The sequence below is a fragment of the Homo sapiens genome, chromosome 1 (genome assembly GCF_000001405.40).
Source record: "Homo sapiens chromosome 1, GRCh38.p14 Primary Assembly".
In the NCBI taxonomy this organism is placed as follows: domain Eukaryota; kingdom Metazoa; phylum Chordata; class Mammalia; order Primates; family Hominidae; genus Homo; species Homo sapiens.
In genome coordinates, this window is record NC_000001.11 from 236,418,112 (window position 1) to 236,437,434 (window position 19,323).

General features: G+C 45.5%; 1 protein-coding gene across 3 annotated transcripts in view, besides 3 other annotated features; it reads left to right on the plus strand.

Annotated features, from left to right (window-relative positions):
* The window catches only part of EDARADD (EDAR associated via death domain), a 136,672-nt gene that overhangs the window by 69,853 nt on the left and 47,496 nt on the right, over positions 1 to 19,323 (plus strand). For all 3 annotated transcript variants that reach the window (NM_001422628.1, NM_145861.4, NM_080738.5), the window contains one exon: positions 9,281 to 9,339. In NM_001422628.1, coding sequence (NP_001409557.1) covers positions 9,281 to 9,339 — 59 coding nt within the window. The remainder of the gene's footprint in view (positions 1 to 9,280; positions 9,340 to 19,323) is intronic.
* Positions 6,612 to 7,113: an enhancer, noted in NCBI's record as "H3K4me1 hESC enhancer chr1:236588023-236588524 (GRCh37/hg19 assembly coordinates)". NCBI's record gives its function as "activates a minimal SCP1, AML or CMV promoter by ChIP-STARR-seq in naive H9 embryonic stem cells {active_cell/tissue: H9 hESC(naive)}" and the evidence as "EXISTENCE:reporter gene assay evidence [ECO:0000049][PMID:30033119]".
* Positions 6,612 to 7,360: a biological region, named in NCBI's record as "H3K4me1 hESC enhancer GRCh37_chr1:236588023-236588524".
* Positions 7,041 to 7,360: an enhancer, noted in NCBI's record as "active region_2824". NCBI's record gives its function as "activates an Ori minimal core promoter by ATAC-STARR-seq in GM12878 lymphoblastoid cells {active_cell/tissue: GM12878}" and the evidence as "EXISTENCE:reporter gene assay evidence [ECO:0000049][PMID:35858748]".

The following is a 19,323-nucleotide window of genomic DNA, read 5'->3' on the forward strand; positions in this document are numbered from 1 at the left end:
CCCAGCTAATTTTTTGTATTTTTAGTAAAGACGGGGTTTCACCGTGTTAGCCAGGATGGTCTCGATCTCCTGACTTCATGATCCACCTGCCTCGGCCTCCCAAAGTGCTGGGATTACAGGCGTGAGCCACCGCGCCCGGCCTCTTTTCTTTTTTTCTGAGTCTTGCTCTGTCACCCAGGCTAGAGTGCAGTGGCATGATCTCGACTCACTGCAACCTTTGCCTCCCAGGCTCAAGCAATTCTCTCACTTCAGCCTCCTGAGTAGCTGGGACTACAGGCGACCACCACCACACCCAGCTAATTTTTGTATTTTTAGTAGAAATGGGGTTTCACCATGTTGGCCAGGCTGGTCTCGAACTCCTGACCTCAAGCGATCCATCCACCTCGGCCTCCTAAAGTGTTGGGATTACAGGCGTGAGCCACCGCACCCAGCCAAAGTAAGGTAGACTAATGCTACCCTTAAGAAGTCTGAGGAACTTGAACTTAAATATAGATGCTGTTTGGGGGTGCCTTTTAGAACAACGTGTTAATTAAATGTAGAAGTAGTTCAGTTTGAACACGTGAAGAGAAAACAAACAAGTACTAGGAAATCACTAAATAATTCAAAAGTAGAAAGGTCTGTCCTAAAACTAGGAAGCCAATATGTTGTATTTGATATGATTTCCTACCTCACGGATTGATAATGATGCCATGTGAAGAGTTGTCCCTGTTCCCACGGGAAACTCCTCATCCTCCCACCTGTGTGGTTTGCTCTGTGTTCTCATCCCGCTTGTTCAATAAATACACTCCCCGCCCCCGCTCCCCAAGCCTTGACAGAGACCCTCTTGGGAATCTTCTGTTACAGTAAACTAAAAACCAACCTGCCCTCCCCTCCCAGTCATGGCAAGAATACAATGGTAACAACTCTCCAAAACATTTTTTAATCTTTTGTGCATAAGAGGATAGAGGGGACGGAGAGGACTATGACCATGGGAGCATTTGGAAAGCCACCTGAGAAAAGTCGCTGTTAAATTCAAGTTCTTTGCCAGTGTTTCAAGAGGCCGAGGCAGGAGGACCACTTGAGACTAGGAGTTTCAGACCAGCCTGAGCAACATAGTGAGACTCCTATCGCTCCAAAAAGAAAAAAAAAGTTAATTAGCTGAGTGTAGTGGTGCACACCTGTAGTCCCAGCTACGTGGGAGGCTTAGGCTGGAGGATCGTTTGAGCCTGGGAGTTCGAGGCTGCAGTGAGCTATAGCTATAATTGCACCACTGCACTACAGCTTGGGCAACAGTGAGCCCCCATCTCAACAAAAACAAAACTAAAACAAAACAAAAAACTCAACTTCTCGTAGTGGGAAAAAAGCACTTTAAAGAAATCTGGGTTAATAATTTTGACATTGTGGGGATGACTGTGATTGAAGTCACACACCTATTACGTTGGGCTGTGACGAATGACACTTCAGTGTGCATCAGAATGTGGGGATGCTTGTCAACAACGCAGACTTCTGGGCCCCTGGAGATTCCAACTAAGGCGGTCTGGGGGAGAGCTCAGCACTCTGACTGACAGGCAGGAGAGCTGAGAGCGAGGCAAGCCTGGGTCAGATGGTGACCGCTCTAGCTGTAAAAAGATAACATACACAGCCTCAGGCAAAGACCACACTTTTAGCTTCAGTTTCCCAGATAATACTATTATGAAAAGAAAGTCTTTTATTCCAGTCAGAATTGTGTGTGAGACAATGAATATACATGGTCCCTTATTTGAACCAATCTAGCAGCTCAGCGCATAATAGGTGAATGAATGCTAATGCATGGACGGTGACTCGCGCCTGTAATCCCAGCATTTTGGGAGGCCAAGGCGGGTGGATTACTCGAGGCCAGGAGTTCCAGACCAGCCTGGTCAACATGGCGATACCCCGTCTCTACTAAAAATACAAAAATAGAATTAGTCAGGTGTGGTGGTGGCACGCACCTGTAATCCCAGATACTGGAGTGGCTGAGGCACGAGAATCGCTTGAACCTGGGAGGCAGAGATTGCAGAGAGCTGAGATCATGCCACTGCACTCCACCCTGGACAACAAAGTGAGACTTTGTTTCAAAATAAATAAATACATAAAATAAAAAGACTGCTAATGAAGGTAAAAATCAAATGGCTTAATCAATCAATCCCTCACTTCATCCTGACTTTTCAACCCTGAGTTAAATGGTTCTGTATTTAAGGCTAAATAACTTTAAACATTTACATGGTGCTAAAATTTCTGTTATAATATATTTCTGCCAACCTTAAAGTTTAGAGTATGGCCTTGAATTCTGTGACTAAAGATTAGAATCTGATGGAACAAAATCAGTTTTTAAGCTATTTTGTACCATCTTCACCACAGGTGGGAAAACTGTGAAGTTAACACAACTTTGGAATGGAAGTTGCTTCCTAGCAATTCATATGGAAAGATGTTAAATGTTTAACATGAATTTCAAGTTCCTTTGCTTTTCACTGGCAACCTGAACTTGAACAAGAGAACCAAAATGGTTTAGGTTTGACCTTTAGGAGGGTGAGCTGTTGGGACAAGTATAATCCCACTCTCTACTGTCTGAAAGGCTTAGTAAAATGACAGACGAATGAACACACTGGAATTTGATATCACGTTGTTAATCAGGGGAGAATTTTTTTTTTGAGATGGAGTCTCGCTCTGTCACCTAGGCTGGAGTGCAGTGGCACGGTCTCGGCTCACTGCACTCCTGAGTTCAAGCAATTCTCCTGCCTCAGCCTCCTGAGTAGCTGAGATTACAGGCACCCGCCACCACACCAAGTTAATTTTTGTATTTCTAGTAGAGATGTGGTTTCACCATGTTGGCCAGGCTGGTCTCGAAGTCCTGACCTCAGGTGATCCACCTGTCTCGGCCTCCCAAAGTGCTGGGATTACAGGTGTGAGCCACTGTGCCCTGCCAGGAGAATGTGTTTTGATTGTCTCCTCTTCACCCTGTTGGTGAGGGAGGGATTCCATCTTAGGGTTACAGGGATGGCCAAACACATGACACTCAACACTTAACAGATGAGATCGACAGGAATTTATGAGTCATGTATACTCAGTCCAGGAGGGGAGGACACTGTGCGTCATGCAGGGCCACATGGAGGTTGCACTTAGGAGCAGAGCAAACAACAAGGGGCTGTCAGACAGGCTTTATGGTATTAAGCAAGTGGGGTGCCTCCTGGTTGTCAGGATGTGATTGGCTTGTTTGAGTTAAGTCCATGGAATCAGGGGAAATGAAGCCCATTACAAAAAGAGAACAAGGACTGTGCGTGGTCCCCTTGGTAAGGGGCGTTGTTTGGCTAGGGGACTTTGGCCATGGGAGCAGAGTGGGAAGGAGACTTGTGGTTAGGCCATTCAAGACCTTCCCAGTTCTTTTTTTTTTTTTTTTTTTTTTTTTTGAGACAGAGTCTCACTCTGTCGCCCAGGCTGGGGTGCAGTGGCTCAATCTCGGCTCACTGCAACCTCTGCCTCCCAAGTTCAAGCCATTCTCCTGCCGCAGCCTCCTGTGTAGCTGGGATTACAGATGCCCGCCACCACGCCTGGCTAAGTTTTGTATTTTTAGTAAAGATGGGGTTTCACCATGTTAACCTAACCTCTAACTGGTCTCTAACTCCTGACCTCAGGTGATCTACCCGCATTGGCCTCCCAAAGTGCTGGGATTACAGGTGTGAGCCCTTCCCAGTTCTACCAATGTCAAGGCAGCACATAAATTGAGTCTCAATGTTAGGTCTTATACAACAGTTCACCCCTAGATGCCATGGCATAAATTTAAACCTTAATGATGGCTGAGACTTCTAGGGAATAGAAGTGCCCCACTAAGAAGCAAGGAAGGCACTTGACCAGGAGGGAGAGGGCCACATGGTGAGATGGTCATCAAAAACAGGAACTTTAGAGGTGTCCCCCTGATGGCCAGTAAAGGCAGTTGAGGAACCCGTGTGGCATTGGTGTAGGGAGTACATGTCTCCAGAGGTTGTGGATTTAGATTCATTAAGGCCTGTGACAATAGTGACACCCAGTAACTTACATAGGAGTTTCTTGAAGATTTCATTATGCCTCTCAATCGAACCTGCTGCCTGATATGAGAGGGGAGGTGGAAGTTTCATTGAATGGCTTAAGAGCCTGGCGTTGTATGTTCTTAGAAGAGAAATGAGTGTCTTGCTCACTGTCAGTAATAAGTGGGACTCCAAAGGAGACTGGAAATGTTCTGCTGAAGCCTTGTATGGTGGCCTTGCTGTACATAGAGACATCTGTTTCTTTATTTATAGTTTGGGTGTATTTGAGGCAAGAGATTCTGAGAGTTCTTTACCACAAAGGGTGCAACTCTTAGGCAATGGTCCAAAAATTTATAAAAACTGTGCAGATGGGGCGATTTGTTGGCCAGGACATCCAGCAATAAGATGACTGCCTGAAGTTTGGCCAGTTTTGCTAATCTTGGGTCCTTCCTTTATCAGGGATATCCTGGTTAAGGGATGGAAAGCAGCAACTGTCTGCTGAGCTTCATCGTGTATGATGGGGGTGATGTCATCTGTAAAGTCTACAAATTCCCATTGCTCTTCACTCAGTTGCTTTGAAGGGGCTCCCCAGATAACCTAGGAGTCTGCAAGAGGGGTGACTTTTTCCAGCACTATGGGCTCTGGTGAGGGATGGGGGAAGCCACCCCTTCCTGCAGATGGAACATGCCAGAGTGCCCGGGTTTAGCTCCATCCTGTATCAAGGAGGCCTTGGTAACCATGCGGAGCTTCCAGGATTTTGCTTCCATGACCCAAGGCATAATGGACAGCGCAGTATGGAGGGTCACAGCTAGTGTTTAATGACAGCCTCTATTTCCAAGAGAGCCCAGTATGCAGCTAGCAGTTGCTGCTCTAATAATGTGTAGAACAGGGCCTGGGAGGGCAGTTTCTTGCATCAAAAGCCTGTGGACAACTTTCAGCTATCGTGGGTGGTCCAGAGACTTCAGGAGGAATGAGAGGAGGTTGCTGAAGCTCCAGAAATCTCTGGGGGTCCTAGTGGGACTGCCTGTTGTAGACTTTTATTGGAGGGGCCCAAATTTACATTGAGCTGACTTGCAAGTACTGGCATCAATGAGATTAAATTTGTAAATGAGAAATATGTTGCCACCAGAACCCAAAAAAGAGCTAAAAATATACTAGACTTGTATTCACATTGTGGGTGCAGAGAGGGTCAATAGCTATTTATTGACAGTGTCTGGGTGGGAGCAGCCCTTAGTTTACCAAGTAATTTTTAGGAATTTCACCAAGGTGGCAGGGCCTTGCGCTATGTGTGGGGCAGTGGCCCATCTCTTTCCGTGAGCATTGTTGTGAGTACTGTATTCCGTGGCCTGCATGAAAATGTCAAGTGAGAATGTCCTCAGAGGAGGATCTCATCCATGTAATGTCATCACACTCATGAGACTGAGAAAGTAGGATGCAGTTAGATCTTGCCTGCAAAGCCTGTGTGTGATGACCAGGCTCTTGAAATGCCCCATGGGTGCCTTGTAAAGATATATCATGTCCGTTTGCAGATGAAGGCAAACTTTGATTGAGAGACTATTGAGATAGTCACTGAACAGAACATATTAGGCAAATCTGTAATAGCAAAATATTTTCTAGTCACTAATTGGATGGAGTCAGTGTTTTCCAATCATTTTAGGCATGGGGTATGGAAGCCTTAAGGGATGAGACCACAGCAGTAAAAGTGTAGTAATCTGGCTAGATGCGGTGGCTCACACCTGTAATCCCAGCACTTTGCGAGGCCGAGGTGGGCAGATCACTTGAGGTCAGGAGCTCAAAACCAGCTGGGACAACATGGTGAAACCCTGTCTCTACTAAAAATACAAAAATTAGCCGGGCGTGGTGGTCGGCACCTGTAATCCTAGCTTCTTGGGAGTCTAGGGTAGGAGAATCACTCAAACCTGGGAAATGGAGGTTGCAGTGAGCTGAGATCGCACCACTGCACTCCAGCCTGGGTGACAGAACAAGACTCCGTCTCAAAAAATAAATAAATAAAATAAAATTGTAGTAATCCACTGTGAAGCATCTTTTTTTTTTTTTTTTTTTTTTTTGGAACAGGACGTTGCTCTGTCACTCAGGGCTGGGGTGCGGTGGTGTGATCATGGGTCACTGCAGCCTTGACCTCTGGGAGCCAAGTGATCCTCCCACCTCAGCCTCCCAAATAGCTGGGACGATAGGCATGTGACACCATGCCCAGCTAATTTTTAAACTTTTTGTAGAGATAGGGTCTTACTGTGTTGCCTGGGCTGATTTTGAACTCTGGGCCCTCAAGCAACCCTCCCATCTTGGCCTCCCAAAGTGCTGGGATTACAGGTGTGAGCCACCACACCCAACCTGTCTTCTCCTTTGTGTCCAGGTTTCTTTTTATCTTTCTTTCATTCCCTTTTTATGGTCACTGGATATACTTTTGGCAGGGGCAGTCTTCTCTACTCTGCTCATATTGATAAATTTCTTCCCCCAGAGAACCTCAAATCAGTATCATCAGGGGTGGGGCCTTCCCTGTGGCAGTGGTTGCTCTCATATAGTTTAAAAACTGTGGGCTTGTGTCAGGGTGAATTAACCCTTTTACTGTGCCCCGGGGCTACTAGGAGTTTTCCCTACAACTCTGAGGATCAGGATCTTTGCTGCAACAGGGGCATAAGCTGCAGCGTGGTCCAGCCCAATGGAAGAGTGCTGGCCTATAACCCAGAGGTGGAGGGACTCTGCTACAACTTTGTCTTTTCTGCCATGAGGGTTTTCCTTAATTAATTAACTAATTTGTTTATGGATTTTTTCCTGTCTTGTACAAATGCCCTCAGAATATTTTGGATTTCTAGCCACATAAAGTTGTGGCTTTCAGTTTTTGTCTCCATATGTCCCAAGGGACCTTCTGGGAGGTTACGAGCAAAGTGTTGGGAGCCAGGTGGCCCCCGTCGCAGGCAGCCACCTCTTCCTCCAGGGAATACCAGTCGGTCTCCCTGGGGATGGGGTCCTCATCCAGCCAGGTGGTTTTGTCTGTGGCCCAAGTGGGGACATTAAACCCACTATGGCAAGATGAGCTCTTTGGCGTGTTGGAAGCAGCAGCGCTAAGCACAGCTGGGTGCGCTCGCCAGGGGCTCTGTGCCGAGAGAGCAGTTGAGTACCAAATGCTTTTTCCCGTTTTCTTTCTTCATTAGCACCTGGGCCACAGACTGCCATGGCTGTGTACCTCGATGCCCCTGGGGGTCAGGAGAACACATGGGCAGCAGCAAGGGAAGCAGCAGCTGAGGGGATGGGCAGGGTCACTGCCTTTGCCTTAGCAGCAACCAGGGCACCAGGGAAACTCCCCTGGGGAACTCCCTGGTCTCTCTCCTTCCTTTCTGCAAACCTCTGTCTGCAAAGGACCGCCCCCGTGGCTGACCTGGGGATGCACTTCACAAACAGTGCCTGTACAGCTGCCCCAAGTGGCCAGTGATGGTCACCAAGCTAGTTGTATTGCTAAGAGAGCTTGCACCTGTCCCTTGATAAGTGGGACTTAAGCAGCAACCGGTTAGGGGGATGTGCTACCACCGTCTTTACAGATGGGAGCCTCAAGAGACCACCTGCCAAACACAGGCCCAAACTGACAGCTCTGGGGTCCAGTCAGTTCACAACAGTTTTCATCTTGGGATGAGATACCAAACAATCAACAAAGACAACACAGCATTGCATAGGCCAGAGTGCAAATCTTCCAGTAATTGTCAATTCTATCCCAGGCAGCCTGCGTGGTATTAGTGAAGTTGGTTAGCCGAGAGCAGTTAATGAAATCTGACCAAATGTCCTTGATTGTGGTTGGGTCATCCTGTTCATTATGCCAGTTGTTTCTTTTCTTTTATTTTTCTTATCTTTTTTTTTTATTTTTTTATTTTTGGAGACAGGGTCTCACTCTGTCCCCCAGGCTGGAGTGCAGTGGCATGATCGATCAGAGCTCACTGCAGCCTTGAACTCCTGGGCTCAAGTGATCCTCCTCTCTCAGCCTCCCAAGTAGCTGGGACTACAGGCACACACCAGCATGCCTGGCTAATTTTTAAGTTTTTTGAGACTGGGTCTCACTGGGTTGCCCAGGCTGCTCTTAAACTCCTGCCTCAAGTGCTCCTCCTGCCTCAGCCTCCTGAATAGCTGTCATTACAGGCGTGAGCCACCACTCCTGGCTATCATGCCAGTTGTTTTGATCACCTTCTCCTCACCCCTGCTCTAGGATTATGGGGATGGACAAACACACACATCCAACACTGGAGAGACAAGATCAGCAGCAGTTTATGAGTCACATATATGCACAGCCCAGGGGAGGAGGACACTGCCCATCACACAGAGCCACGCAGGGGGACACAGATGTTGTACTTGAGAGCAGAGCAAAAAACCATGGGCTGTGTGAGACAAACATTGTGGCATCAAAAGGGTAGGCTGCCTTCTGGTTCCCATGTGAGTTCGTGATCAGCCTGTTTGAATAATTCCACATGTTGGTAGGAAACTGAAACCCACTACCCAAAAAATAAGCAGGGGGCAGTCACAGTGGCTCACACTAGTAATCCCAACACTTTGGGAGGCCAAGGCAGGAGAATCACTTGAGGCCAGGAGTTCAAAACCAGCATGGACAACACAGTGAGGCCCTATATCTTACTTAGCTTGGTGTGGTGGCACATGCCTATCTTCCCAGATACTTGGGAGGCTGAGGTGGGAGGATCACATGAGCCTAGGAGTTCCAAGTTACTGTGAGATGCACTCCAGCCTGGATGACAGAGTGAGACCCTCTGTCTCTTATTTTTATTTTTTTGAGACGGAGTTTTGCTCTTGTTCTCCAGGCTGGAGTGCAATGGCGTGGTCTCAGCTCACTGCAAACTTTGTCTCCTGAGTTCAAGTGATTCTCCTGCCTCAGCCTCCAGAGTAGCTAGGATTACAGGCATGCGCTACCACTCTTGGCTAATTTTGTATTTTTAGTAGAGACGGGGGTTTCTCCATGTTGGTCAGGCTGGTCCCAAGCTCCCAACCTCAGGTGATCCGCCTGCCCCTGTCTCTTATTTTAAAAAAATAAATAAAAAATAAGCAGGAATTGTGCCTAATCTCTTGATAAGCAGCATTGTTTAGCTGGGGGATCTTATCCTTAAGAGCAGAGTTTGGAGAGGAATTTGTAGTCCAGCCCTTCTGATTTTACCAGATGCCAAGGCAGCATGTGACACTGAACCTTAATTTTAGGTCTTACACCACGGAGTGTGTGCTTTTTAAAATCACACTTTGTTTCTTTCTTTCTTTCTTTTTTTTTTTCCTAGCTGAAGAATGTGATACAATTACTTTGAACTGCCCACGAAATTCAGATATGAAAAATCAGGTAAGAATAATTTCAACTATATTTTACCCTTAGGTACATGATAATCCACCTAAAATTTTTTGAGATTTATAGAGTTTTACAAATAAAAAATGAAAAACAGGATTTCTAGATCATAAACAGGGTTTGCAAATGGTCTCTAAGCATCCCAGTAAGGTAGCATATCTTTAGAACTTTTTTACTTCTAATAAATATTATAGCTTTCATTCATTCTTTGAAATACTCTTCTACATGCCAACAACAGAAAATCAATGCTGGTGAGTTAGAAAGGAGAGTTGTTTTCTTTCTAATGCAGTTGGCACTCTGTGGATGAGCAAATTCTTTAAGGCACAACAAAACTAGATACTCTAATATAATACTTGTAATGCTTTATTAAACTTTAATTTTTTTAGATATCAGAAGTCAAACTTTAACATATTATTTCTATTATCTTTTTCCAAAAAGGAAATATGTTTATTGTTTTATGATTATAAAAGAATTCATATTTTTTAATTGTAATTTTTTTAATTTATTTATTTTATTTTATTTTATTTTTTTAGTATTTATTGATCATTCTTGGGTGTTTCACAGAGAGGGGGATTTGGCAGGGTCATAGGACAATAGTGGAGGGAAGGTCAGCAGATAAACAAGTGAACAAAGGTCTCTGGTTTTCCTAGGCAGAGGGCCCTGCCGCCTTCTGCAGTGTTTGTGTCCCTGGGTACTTGAGATTAGGGAGTGGTGATGACTCTTAAGGAGCATGCTGCCTTCAAGCATCTGTTTAACAAAGCACATCTTGCACCGCCCTTAATCCAATTAACCCTGAGTGGACACAGCACATGTTTCAGAGAGCACAGGGTTGGGGGCAAAGTTATAGATTAACAGCATCCCAAGGCAGAAGAATTTTTCTTAGTACAGAACAAAATGGAGTCTCCTATGTCTACTTCTTTCCACACAGACGCAGTAACAATCCGATCTCTCTTTCTTTTCCCCACACTTCACCCCTTTCTATTCGACAAAACCGCCATCGTCATCATGGCCTGTTCTCAATGAGCTGTTGGGTACACCGCCCAGACGGGGTGGCGGCCGGGCAGAGGGGCTCCTCACTTCTCAGATGGGGCGGCCAGTCAGAGACACTCCTCACTTCCCAGACTGGGCTGCCGGGCAGAGGCGCTCCCCACATCCCAGACATGGGCGGCCGGGCGGAGACGCTCCTCACTTCCTAGACGGGATGGCGGCCGGGAAGAGGCGCTCCTCACTTCCCAGACTGGGCTGCCGGGCAGAGACGCTCCTCACTTCCCAGACGGGGTGGCGGCCGGGCAGAGGCTGCAATCTCGGCACTTTGGGAGGCCAAGGCAGGCGGCTGGGAGGTGGAGGTTGTAGCGAGCGGAGATCACGCCACTGCACTCCAGCCTGGGCAACATTGAGCACTGAGTGAGCGAGACTCTGTCTGCAATCCCGGCGCCTCGGGAGGCCGAGGCTGGCAGATCACTCGCGGTCAGGAGCTGGAGACACGCCCGGCCAACAGGGCGAAACCCCGTCTCCACCAAAAAAATACGAAAACCAGTCAGGCGTTGCGACGCGCGCCTGCAATCCCAGGCACTCGGCAGGCTGAGGCAGGAGAATCAGGCAGGGAGGTTGCAGTGAGTCGAGATGGCATCGGTACAGTCCAGCCTCGGCTGGGCATCAGAGGGAGACCGTGCAAAGGGGAGAGGCGGCAGTACAGTCCAGCCTCGGCTCGGCATCAGAGGGAGACTGTGCAGAGGGAGAGGGAGCGGGAGCGGGAGAGGGAGAGATTTTTTTTTTTTTTTTTTTGAGGCAGTCTCACTCTGGAGTGCAGTGGTGCGATCTCGGCTCACTGTAACCTCTGCCTCCTGGGTTCAAGAGATTCTCATGCCTCAGCCTCCTGAGTAGCTGAGATCACAGGTGCGCGCCACCATGCCCGGCTACTTTATTTATTTATTTATTTTTTTAGACAGAGTCTCGCTCTGTCACCCAGGCTGGAGTGCAGTGGTGCGATCTCGGCTCACTGCAAGCTCCACCTCCCAGGTTCACGCCATTCTCCTGCCTCAGTCTCCCGAGTAGCTGGGACTACAGGCGCCCGCCACCATGACCCGCTAATTTTTTTTTTTTGAATTTTTAGTAGAGACGGGGTTTTGCCATGTTGGCCAGGCTAGTCTCGAACTCTTGGCCTCAAGTGATCTGTCCACCTAGGCCTCCCAAAGTGCTGGTATTACAGGCTTGAGCCACTGCACCTGGCCAGAATGTTCATTATTTTAAAGTTCAAGTTGTGCAAAAAAGTACACACAGAAAGTTAAGAATTGCCTGTCATTCCACTGTTCCACCTTTTGATATACATCTTTCTGGGGACTTCCTTGGTCAGTTACTTCTTGTACTGTCCAAGCCACCTCTGTTCTCTCTCCCAAAGCTCATTAGCAGAGTTGCTTAACTATATTTACAGCATTCAGTATCTCAAAGGCATGTTTTGCCTCAAATAGGCTGATTCAATTCTGCTCCTTCTATATATAACATCAAGTTAATTTGTAACAAGTTTTGCCTAGTCTTGCTTTAAAACATCACTCTGTAATAAAGTCTTTAATAGTAACATTGCTGGGTAGTCAAATCACCTCTGTAAGAAAGAGAAGTTACACAATAGTTGATAAAATAAGCAGTTTAAATTAAAACACATAACTGTCTTGAAAATGGTCAGTGGTGCTAGTTTTAACTTTGTTTTGGGGAATTTTCAACCATTAATTGTGAATATCAGACTTCACTCTTTACTCCTGATACTCAACATTTTCCTTGAAATTATAATCTAATAATGGGCTTCTGTGCTTACTGAATTTAAACTAGTTTAGTAAACTGAAAGTATAAATTTGTTCTTCTCATAATCCTAATTTTTAAACAAAATTTTGCTCCTCACATTTTTTTGGTAACATGTAGACTTCCTTGAAGATAAAAGAATGCTAAGTTTTTCATGTAGTTTACTTTTAGGGATTTTCCAAAACCACTTAAGATGAGGTACAGAATATATGTTAGCACACTGTTCAGCATTTTTCCTAATTTCAGTGTTATAATTTTGGCTATATCAAGTAAATACTATCCTAAAAGGTGAAAATATATTTATCAACTAAAAAAATAGGGGAAATACCTCTTTGAGATTTTTAAAGTTCTATTTTAAAACAAAATGTCTTCTTCTCCTATAAAAAGTAGTACTATAGGCAGCTGGCTGCTTCCGTTGACTATTTCTTTGTATAATCTATAGGATTTGTTTTAACTGCTAGATACTCAGAAGGATTCTTTGAAATGAACTTGGCAGTTAGAACAAAGAAAATTCACCAGGGAGAAACGTTTAAAAGAAGAAAACAACACACACTCCATTCTATAGTTCAGACATTAAAAGCAAGCTGGAGGCCGAGCTCGGTGGCTCACGCCTATAATCCCAACACTTTGTGGGGCTGAGGCAGGTGGATCACGAGGTCAGGAGTTTAAGACCAGCCTGGCCAAGATGGTGAAACCCCGTCTCTACTAAAACTACAATAATTAGCAGGGTGCAGTGGCAGGCGCCTGTAATCCCAACTACTTGGGAGGCTGAGGCAGGAGAATTGCTTGAACCAGCAGGTGGAGGTTGCAGTGAGCTGAGATTGTGCCACTGCACTCCAGCCTAGGTGACAGAGTGAGACCCTGTCTTAAAATAAATAAATAAATAAATAAAATAAAAGCAAGCTGGAAGTATGTTCTTTAGAATAATTATTATCTGCCTTTTTAGTGATTTTTATAATTTAAGACTAAAATCTGCTTCTACTAAGGATTTATTTGAGCTTCCTTTTTCGAGTGATGCCGAGGAAAAACATCATAGTGTCCTAGTGTCAAAAATTAAAGTCTAAGCCAGGCATGCTTGTGGTCCCAGCTACTCAGGAGGCTGAGGTGGGAGGATCGCTTGAGAACTGGAGTTTGAGGCTAGTCTGGCAACATAGCAAGACCTGTCTCTTAAACAAAACAAAACATTAAGGTCTGACATTTCAAGTGCAATTTCAGAAAGAACCCTTTACTTTTAGTTATTTAAAATCAATACCCCATCTACTAGAACTATTCAACTTCTACAACTTATTACAACTGGTATTTATTGAGGATATACTCTAAGACCAATCTGAACTGGGTATTCTTGGACATAAAAAATACAGGAGGAGGAGGTGGAAGTTAAGACCCCAGGCAGGGCCGGGCGCGGTGGCTCACGCCTGTAATCCCAGCACTTTGGGAGGCCGAGGCGGGTGGATCATGAGGTCAGGAGATCGAGACCATCCTGGCTAACAAGGTGAAACCCCGTCTCTACTAAAAATACAAAAAATTAGCCGGGCGCGGTGGCGGGCGCCTGTAGTCCCAGCTACTCGGGAGGCTGAGGCAGGAGAATGGCGTGAACCCGGGAAGCGGAGCTTGCAGTGAGCCGAGATTGCGCCACTGCAGTCCGCAGTCCGACCTGGGCGACAGAGCGAGACTCCGTCTCAAAAAAAAAAAAAAAAAAAAAAAAAGACCCCAGGCAGACCTTATAGACTTGTTGGAGAGGCAGTGCACACAGTTTGATTCTCGGATGTGTGTAAGGCTCAGATGTGTAAACAATTTCCATGATACTTTAAGGAAAACATTTCCTAGGACCTTTATCAATCAATAAAGTTTTAATTACTTTAACGACATGCATAAGCATATGGCAAATGAAGATAAAGCAAAAATTTGTTCCAGCTGGGTACGGAGGCTCACACCTGTAATCCCAGCACTTTGGGAGGCCAAGGTCAGCAAAACCTGAACTCTACAAAAAATACAAAAATTAACCACACCTGTGGTCCCATGGTCCCAGCTGCTCAGGAGGCTGAGGTGAGAGGATCGCTTAAACCTGGGAAGCAGAGGTTGCAGGGAATGGAAATCGTGCCACTGCACTTCAGCCTGGGAGATAGAGCCAGACCCTGCCACCAAAAGAAAAAAAAAAAAATTGGGTTCCAGTTTGTAGCCAAGAATCCATGCCAAGAGGAGTCTAAGGTAATACAATAAAAATAAGAAAAATAATAAATATTAGGATACTAAGTTGGAGTTAGAAGTTATGAAAATAATGACATTGTCTTCTATGTTGTTTATTTGGATTACAAAACAAGTTTTTTTAGTTTTAGAAACTACATTAAGAAACTGCAGACCAACTCGGTGGCTCATGCCTGTAATCCCAGCACTTTGGGAGGCCGAAGTGGGCAGATCACCTGAGATCAGGAATTCTAGACCAGCCTGGCCAACACAGTGAAACCCCGTCCCTACTAAAAATACAAAAATTAGCTGGGCATGGTGGTGGGTGCCTGTAATCCCAGCTATCTGGGAGGCTAAGGCAGGAGAATTGCTTGAACTCAGGAGAGGAAGGTTCCAGTGAGCCGAGATCATGCTCAGCTTGAGCCTGGGAGGCTGTGGCTGCAGTGAGCTGTGACTGTGCTGCTGCACTCCAGCATGGATGACAGAGCAAGACTCTCAAAAAAAAAAAAAGAAAGAAAGAAAGAAAGAAACTACAATACCATTAAGTTATTGGCTCATTTACTTGCGACAAATGTATCCCACTAATGTAAGATGTTCATAATAACAGAAACTGGGGATAGGATATATATATAGGAATTCTTTACACTGTCTTCTCAAATTTTCTGTAAATCTAAAATGATTCTAAAATAAAAGCGTTACTTTAAAAAGCATACTAAATAAAATTTAGATTCTAGATCAATGAAAGGCGCATCGCCCATTCCACCACTCGAATACAATTATTTTTGTCACTTCGTTGTATTCCTTTGTACATTTTTGTATGCATAATTATAAAAACAGCAAATAACCCTGGGCGCGGTGGCTCATGCCTGTAATCCCAGCACTTTGGGGGGGGCCGAGGCAGGTGGACCACCTGAGGTTAGGAGTTTGAGATCAGCCTGGCCAACATGGGGAAACAGAAACCCTGTCTCTACTAAAAATACAAGCGATTCTCCCGCCTCAGCCCCAGAGCAGCTGGGATCACAGGCACCCACCACCACACCCAGATAATTTTTGTACTTTTAGTAGAGACGGGGTTTCACCATGTTGGCCAGGCTGGTCTCGAACTCCTGACCTCAGGTGATCCACCCACCTCAGTCTCCCAAAGTGTTGGGATTACAGGCGTGAGTCACCGCATCCAGCCTAACTCATATAGTTTTCAAAATGACCTTATGCAGGACGTACCATTATTATGCTCACTTTACACATCAAGATCCAGAGTGGTTAAAAAATAAAATAAAATAAATATAAAAATTAGCCAGGCGTGGTGGTGGGTGCCTGTTATCCCAGCTACTCTGGAGGCTGAGGCAGGATAATTGCTTGAACCCAGGAGGCAGAGGTTGTGGTAAGCCGATATCGCACCACTGCACTCCAGCCTAGGCGACAGAGTGAGACTCCATCTCAAAAATCAAAAACAAACAAACAAAAAAAACAAAAAAAAAAACCCTGCAAATAATTTGATATTGTTCTATATCCTGCTTTTGTTGTTTAATAATTCAGAAACATTTTATCCAGTTTGCTCCATGATTTTGCCATCCTGTTGCTCCATGGTCATGATGATGTCATGGTCAATGGCAGCACGGTATGCCCATCTGACACAGAAATAGATTCTAGGATGCGAGTCTGAGGGCCGGAGCCAGAACCCTCCCAGTAGATGGAATGATATAGCCCAAGCTTGTCCAACCCATGGCCTGCAGGCCTTATGTGGCCCAGGACAGCTTAGAACACAGCCCAACACAAATCTGTAAATGTTCTTAAAACATTATGAATTTTTTTGCTTTTTTTTTTTGAGATGGAATCTTGCTCTGTCTCCCAGGCTGGAGTGCGGTGGTGTGATCTCAGCTCACTGCAACCTCTGCCACCTGGGTTCAAGCAATTTTCCTGGCTCGGCCTCCCTGGTAGCTGGGATTATAGGTGCACGCCACCACACCCAGCTAAACTTTTTGGATTTTTAGTAGAGACGGGGTTTTGCCATGTTGGCCAGGCTGATCTTGAACTCCTGACCTCAAGCGATCCACCCGCCTCAGCCTCCCAAAGTGTTAGGATTATAGGCGTGAGCCACTGTGCCTGGCCTTTTTGTGATTTTTTTAAAGCTCTTCAGCTATCATCAGCATTAGTATATTTTACGTGTGGCCCAAGACAATTCTTCTTCTTCCAATGTGGCCCAGGGAAGCCCAAATATTGGACACCCCTGGTATAGACAGAGGATCTGAGGGGAGATTCTGTGACAGAGTGAACTTGGCCTGAGAGAGCTTAGGTGATGAGGCTGGAAGGTAAGTTGAGACCAGGGCCCCAGAGCCTTGAATGCCGGAGAGGGGTGGGTGGTGGAAGGTATTGGGGATTTTCAGTGATTTTCTCATGACCTTATCTGGGATCCTAAGGGGACTTGAAAGAAGATGAGACAGGCTTAAAAGCCTGTGCCTGGGAGATGGATGCTATTGACAAGATCAATAGAGAATTCAGGAAGAAGACCATCAGATGTGTGTGTGTTGTTAGGATTGAGTTTTCTTTGTTGGTTGGTTCAGAAAGAGGAGATAAAGGTGTGTGGAGTTTGGGGTATGTGAGATTTGTTGTGCCAGTGAGACTGCTTGTGTAGATGACACAGCACTAGGTACTGTGCTTAGGATTCATGCATTGGGAGGTTATAGTTGAAGCCCTAGGCATGGATGAGACTGTCAAGGAAAATCGTCCTTATAGGAAAGCGGAGAGGTTAACCAAGATGAAACCTTGAGGAACACTTACTCTTGGAGGTCAGAGGAAGAAAGGAGCTCAGAGGTAACTAGAGGAATAGCCAGAGAAGAAAACCATCTGTGCTCAAGGCAACGATTCTTTCCTTCATAGCACTGATCCTAGTTCATAGTCACATGTTTGCTGACTATTTCATTGTCTTCACCCATTGATTAGGCTATGCCCCTTGAGGGCAGGGACTCCTGTGTCTTTTTGCTCATAATTGTATCTTCAATGCCTACTACATAGTAGGTCCCAATAACTGTGTATTGAATAAAGAAAGGGAAAAGCCAGGGGAGGGCATCGCTTCACATGTCGAGGAAGGAATGGTCACCACCCTCAGGAGGCACAGCGTGGTCAAGAGGGAGACCTACCAAGATGTCATTGGATTTACTTGCAAGAGTTAAGAAGTGAGTATGAGAATGTTTATGCAGTTCTATCCAGAAATTCATTAAGGTAGCAAAGAAAAATATTAAAATGTTATTTGAAGATATTGGAAAGTACAGAAAAGGCTTCCTTTCTACTTTTCAGGATGAGAAACTTCAGGATTTTAGAAAGAAAAAGGATCAGCAGGAGTGGAGGATTAAAAATAATAGAGAGAAGGGGGATAATACGTGGGATGTTTTCCTATAGAAGGTAGAGGGGATTCATTTTCTTAGCAAATATTTATTGATAACATATGTTTGGTAGAAAACACACAGCACTAGATTTTCCTCAAGGAATCTGTAAGCTGGCAAGGAAGTCAAGATATATGCACACATAATTTTGATAAATAAGAGTCGTCAAAGGCATAGAGAGATGAATTTGCATTTTAAAAGTAAAAACCTCAGCCAGGCATGGTGACTCAGGCCTGTAATCCCAGCACTTTGGGAGGCCGAGGCAGGAGAATTGCTTGAGACCAGGAGTTCAAGACCAGCCTGGGCAATAAAGTGAGACCCCATCTCTATTAAAAAAAAAAATGTCTTTCTTTCCTTTTTTTTTTTAGATGGAGTCTCACTCTGTCGCCCAGGCTGGAGTGCAGTGGTGTGATCTCAGCTCACTGCAACTTCCACCTCCTGGGTTCAAGCGATTTACCTGCCTCAGCCCCCGAGTAGCTCGAACTACAGGCGTGCACCACTGCACCCGGCTAATTTTTGCATTTTTAGTAGAGACCACCATAGGTCTCACCATATCGGCCAGACTGGTCTCTAACTCCTGGCCTCAGGTGATCTGCCCTCCTCGGCCTCCCAAAGTGCTGAGATTACAGGCGTGAGCCACTGCACCCAGCCAAAACTTTCTTTTTAATTAGCTAGGTGTGGTGGTGCACACTTGTAGTCCCAGCTGCTTGGGAGGCTGAGGCAGGAGAATCACTTGAGCCTGGGAGGTTGAGGCTGCAGTGAGCCGTGATTGTGCTACTGCACTCCAGCATGGGTGACAGAGCAAGATCTTGTCAAAAAAAAAAAAAAAAAAAAGTAAGAACCTTAACTCTTTTTTAGAGGCAGGACTCAAAGAAGGTTGGATGGGGAAAGATAGAAATATACTTTTTAGATGCAAAGTCAAGAAGTTGAGTTAGTTGATGTGAAACTGGTGTTGTGCCTTGAATCACGGCATTTGGTTGGGACAGTTGGTTGGGACAGGAGGGAGGAAATGGAGCAGAGTTATTAGGGGGCTAAAGAGTTTGCTCTGTTCATACAGCAGGGAGGCAGAGACCTGCGTGAAATAGGCAATGCTATGACAGTATTTGATAAATGTGAAATAGATTGCCAGATGGTAGATGGTGAAACATCCATTCATCCCTCCATCTTTCAAGTATTTCAGTGCCAAGAATGTATTACCAGCACTCCCTTAGGGTCTCCAGATACAATGGTGAATACCTAGAGCTTACAGTCAAGTTTGGCATTGAAAATCTCCAACTGGGAAGGGTGAGTGGAAGTGTTTGTGGATGCTCCAATCACAGAAGCTCCGTAGGCAAGTACACTAAGAAAATCCCCCTCTTAGAGAAGCTCAGCACATATCCCTAAAGGCAAAAGATAGAGAGGACACCTGATCGACAGGTAAGCTTAGTTGAACAGAGAAATACTTGTTTTTCCCACCCCTGGGGCATACCTGTTAAATGTCCCCTGCATCTCATGTTTCCTGTAAACACTACTTTGGGAAGAGTTGTTCAAATGGAAGTCTTGAATGCCAGGATGGAAGAGTGTGAACTTGATGTCCCACACCCTGGAAAGTTCCCGAAAGAGTCTGACGGTGGAATGATGGGGT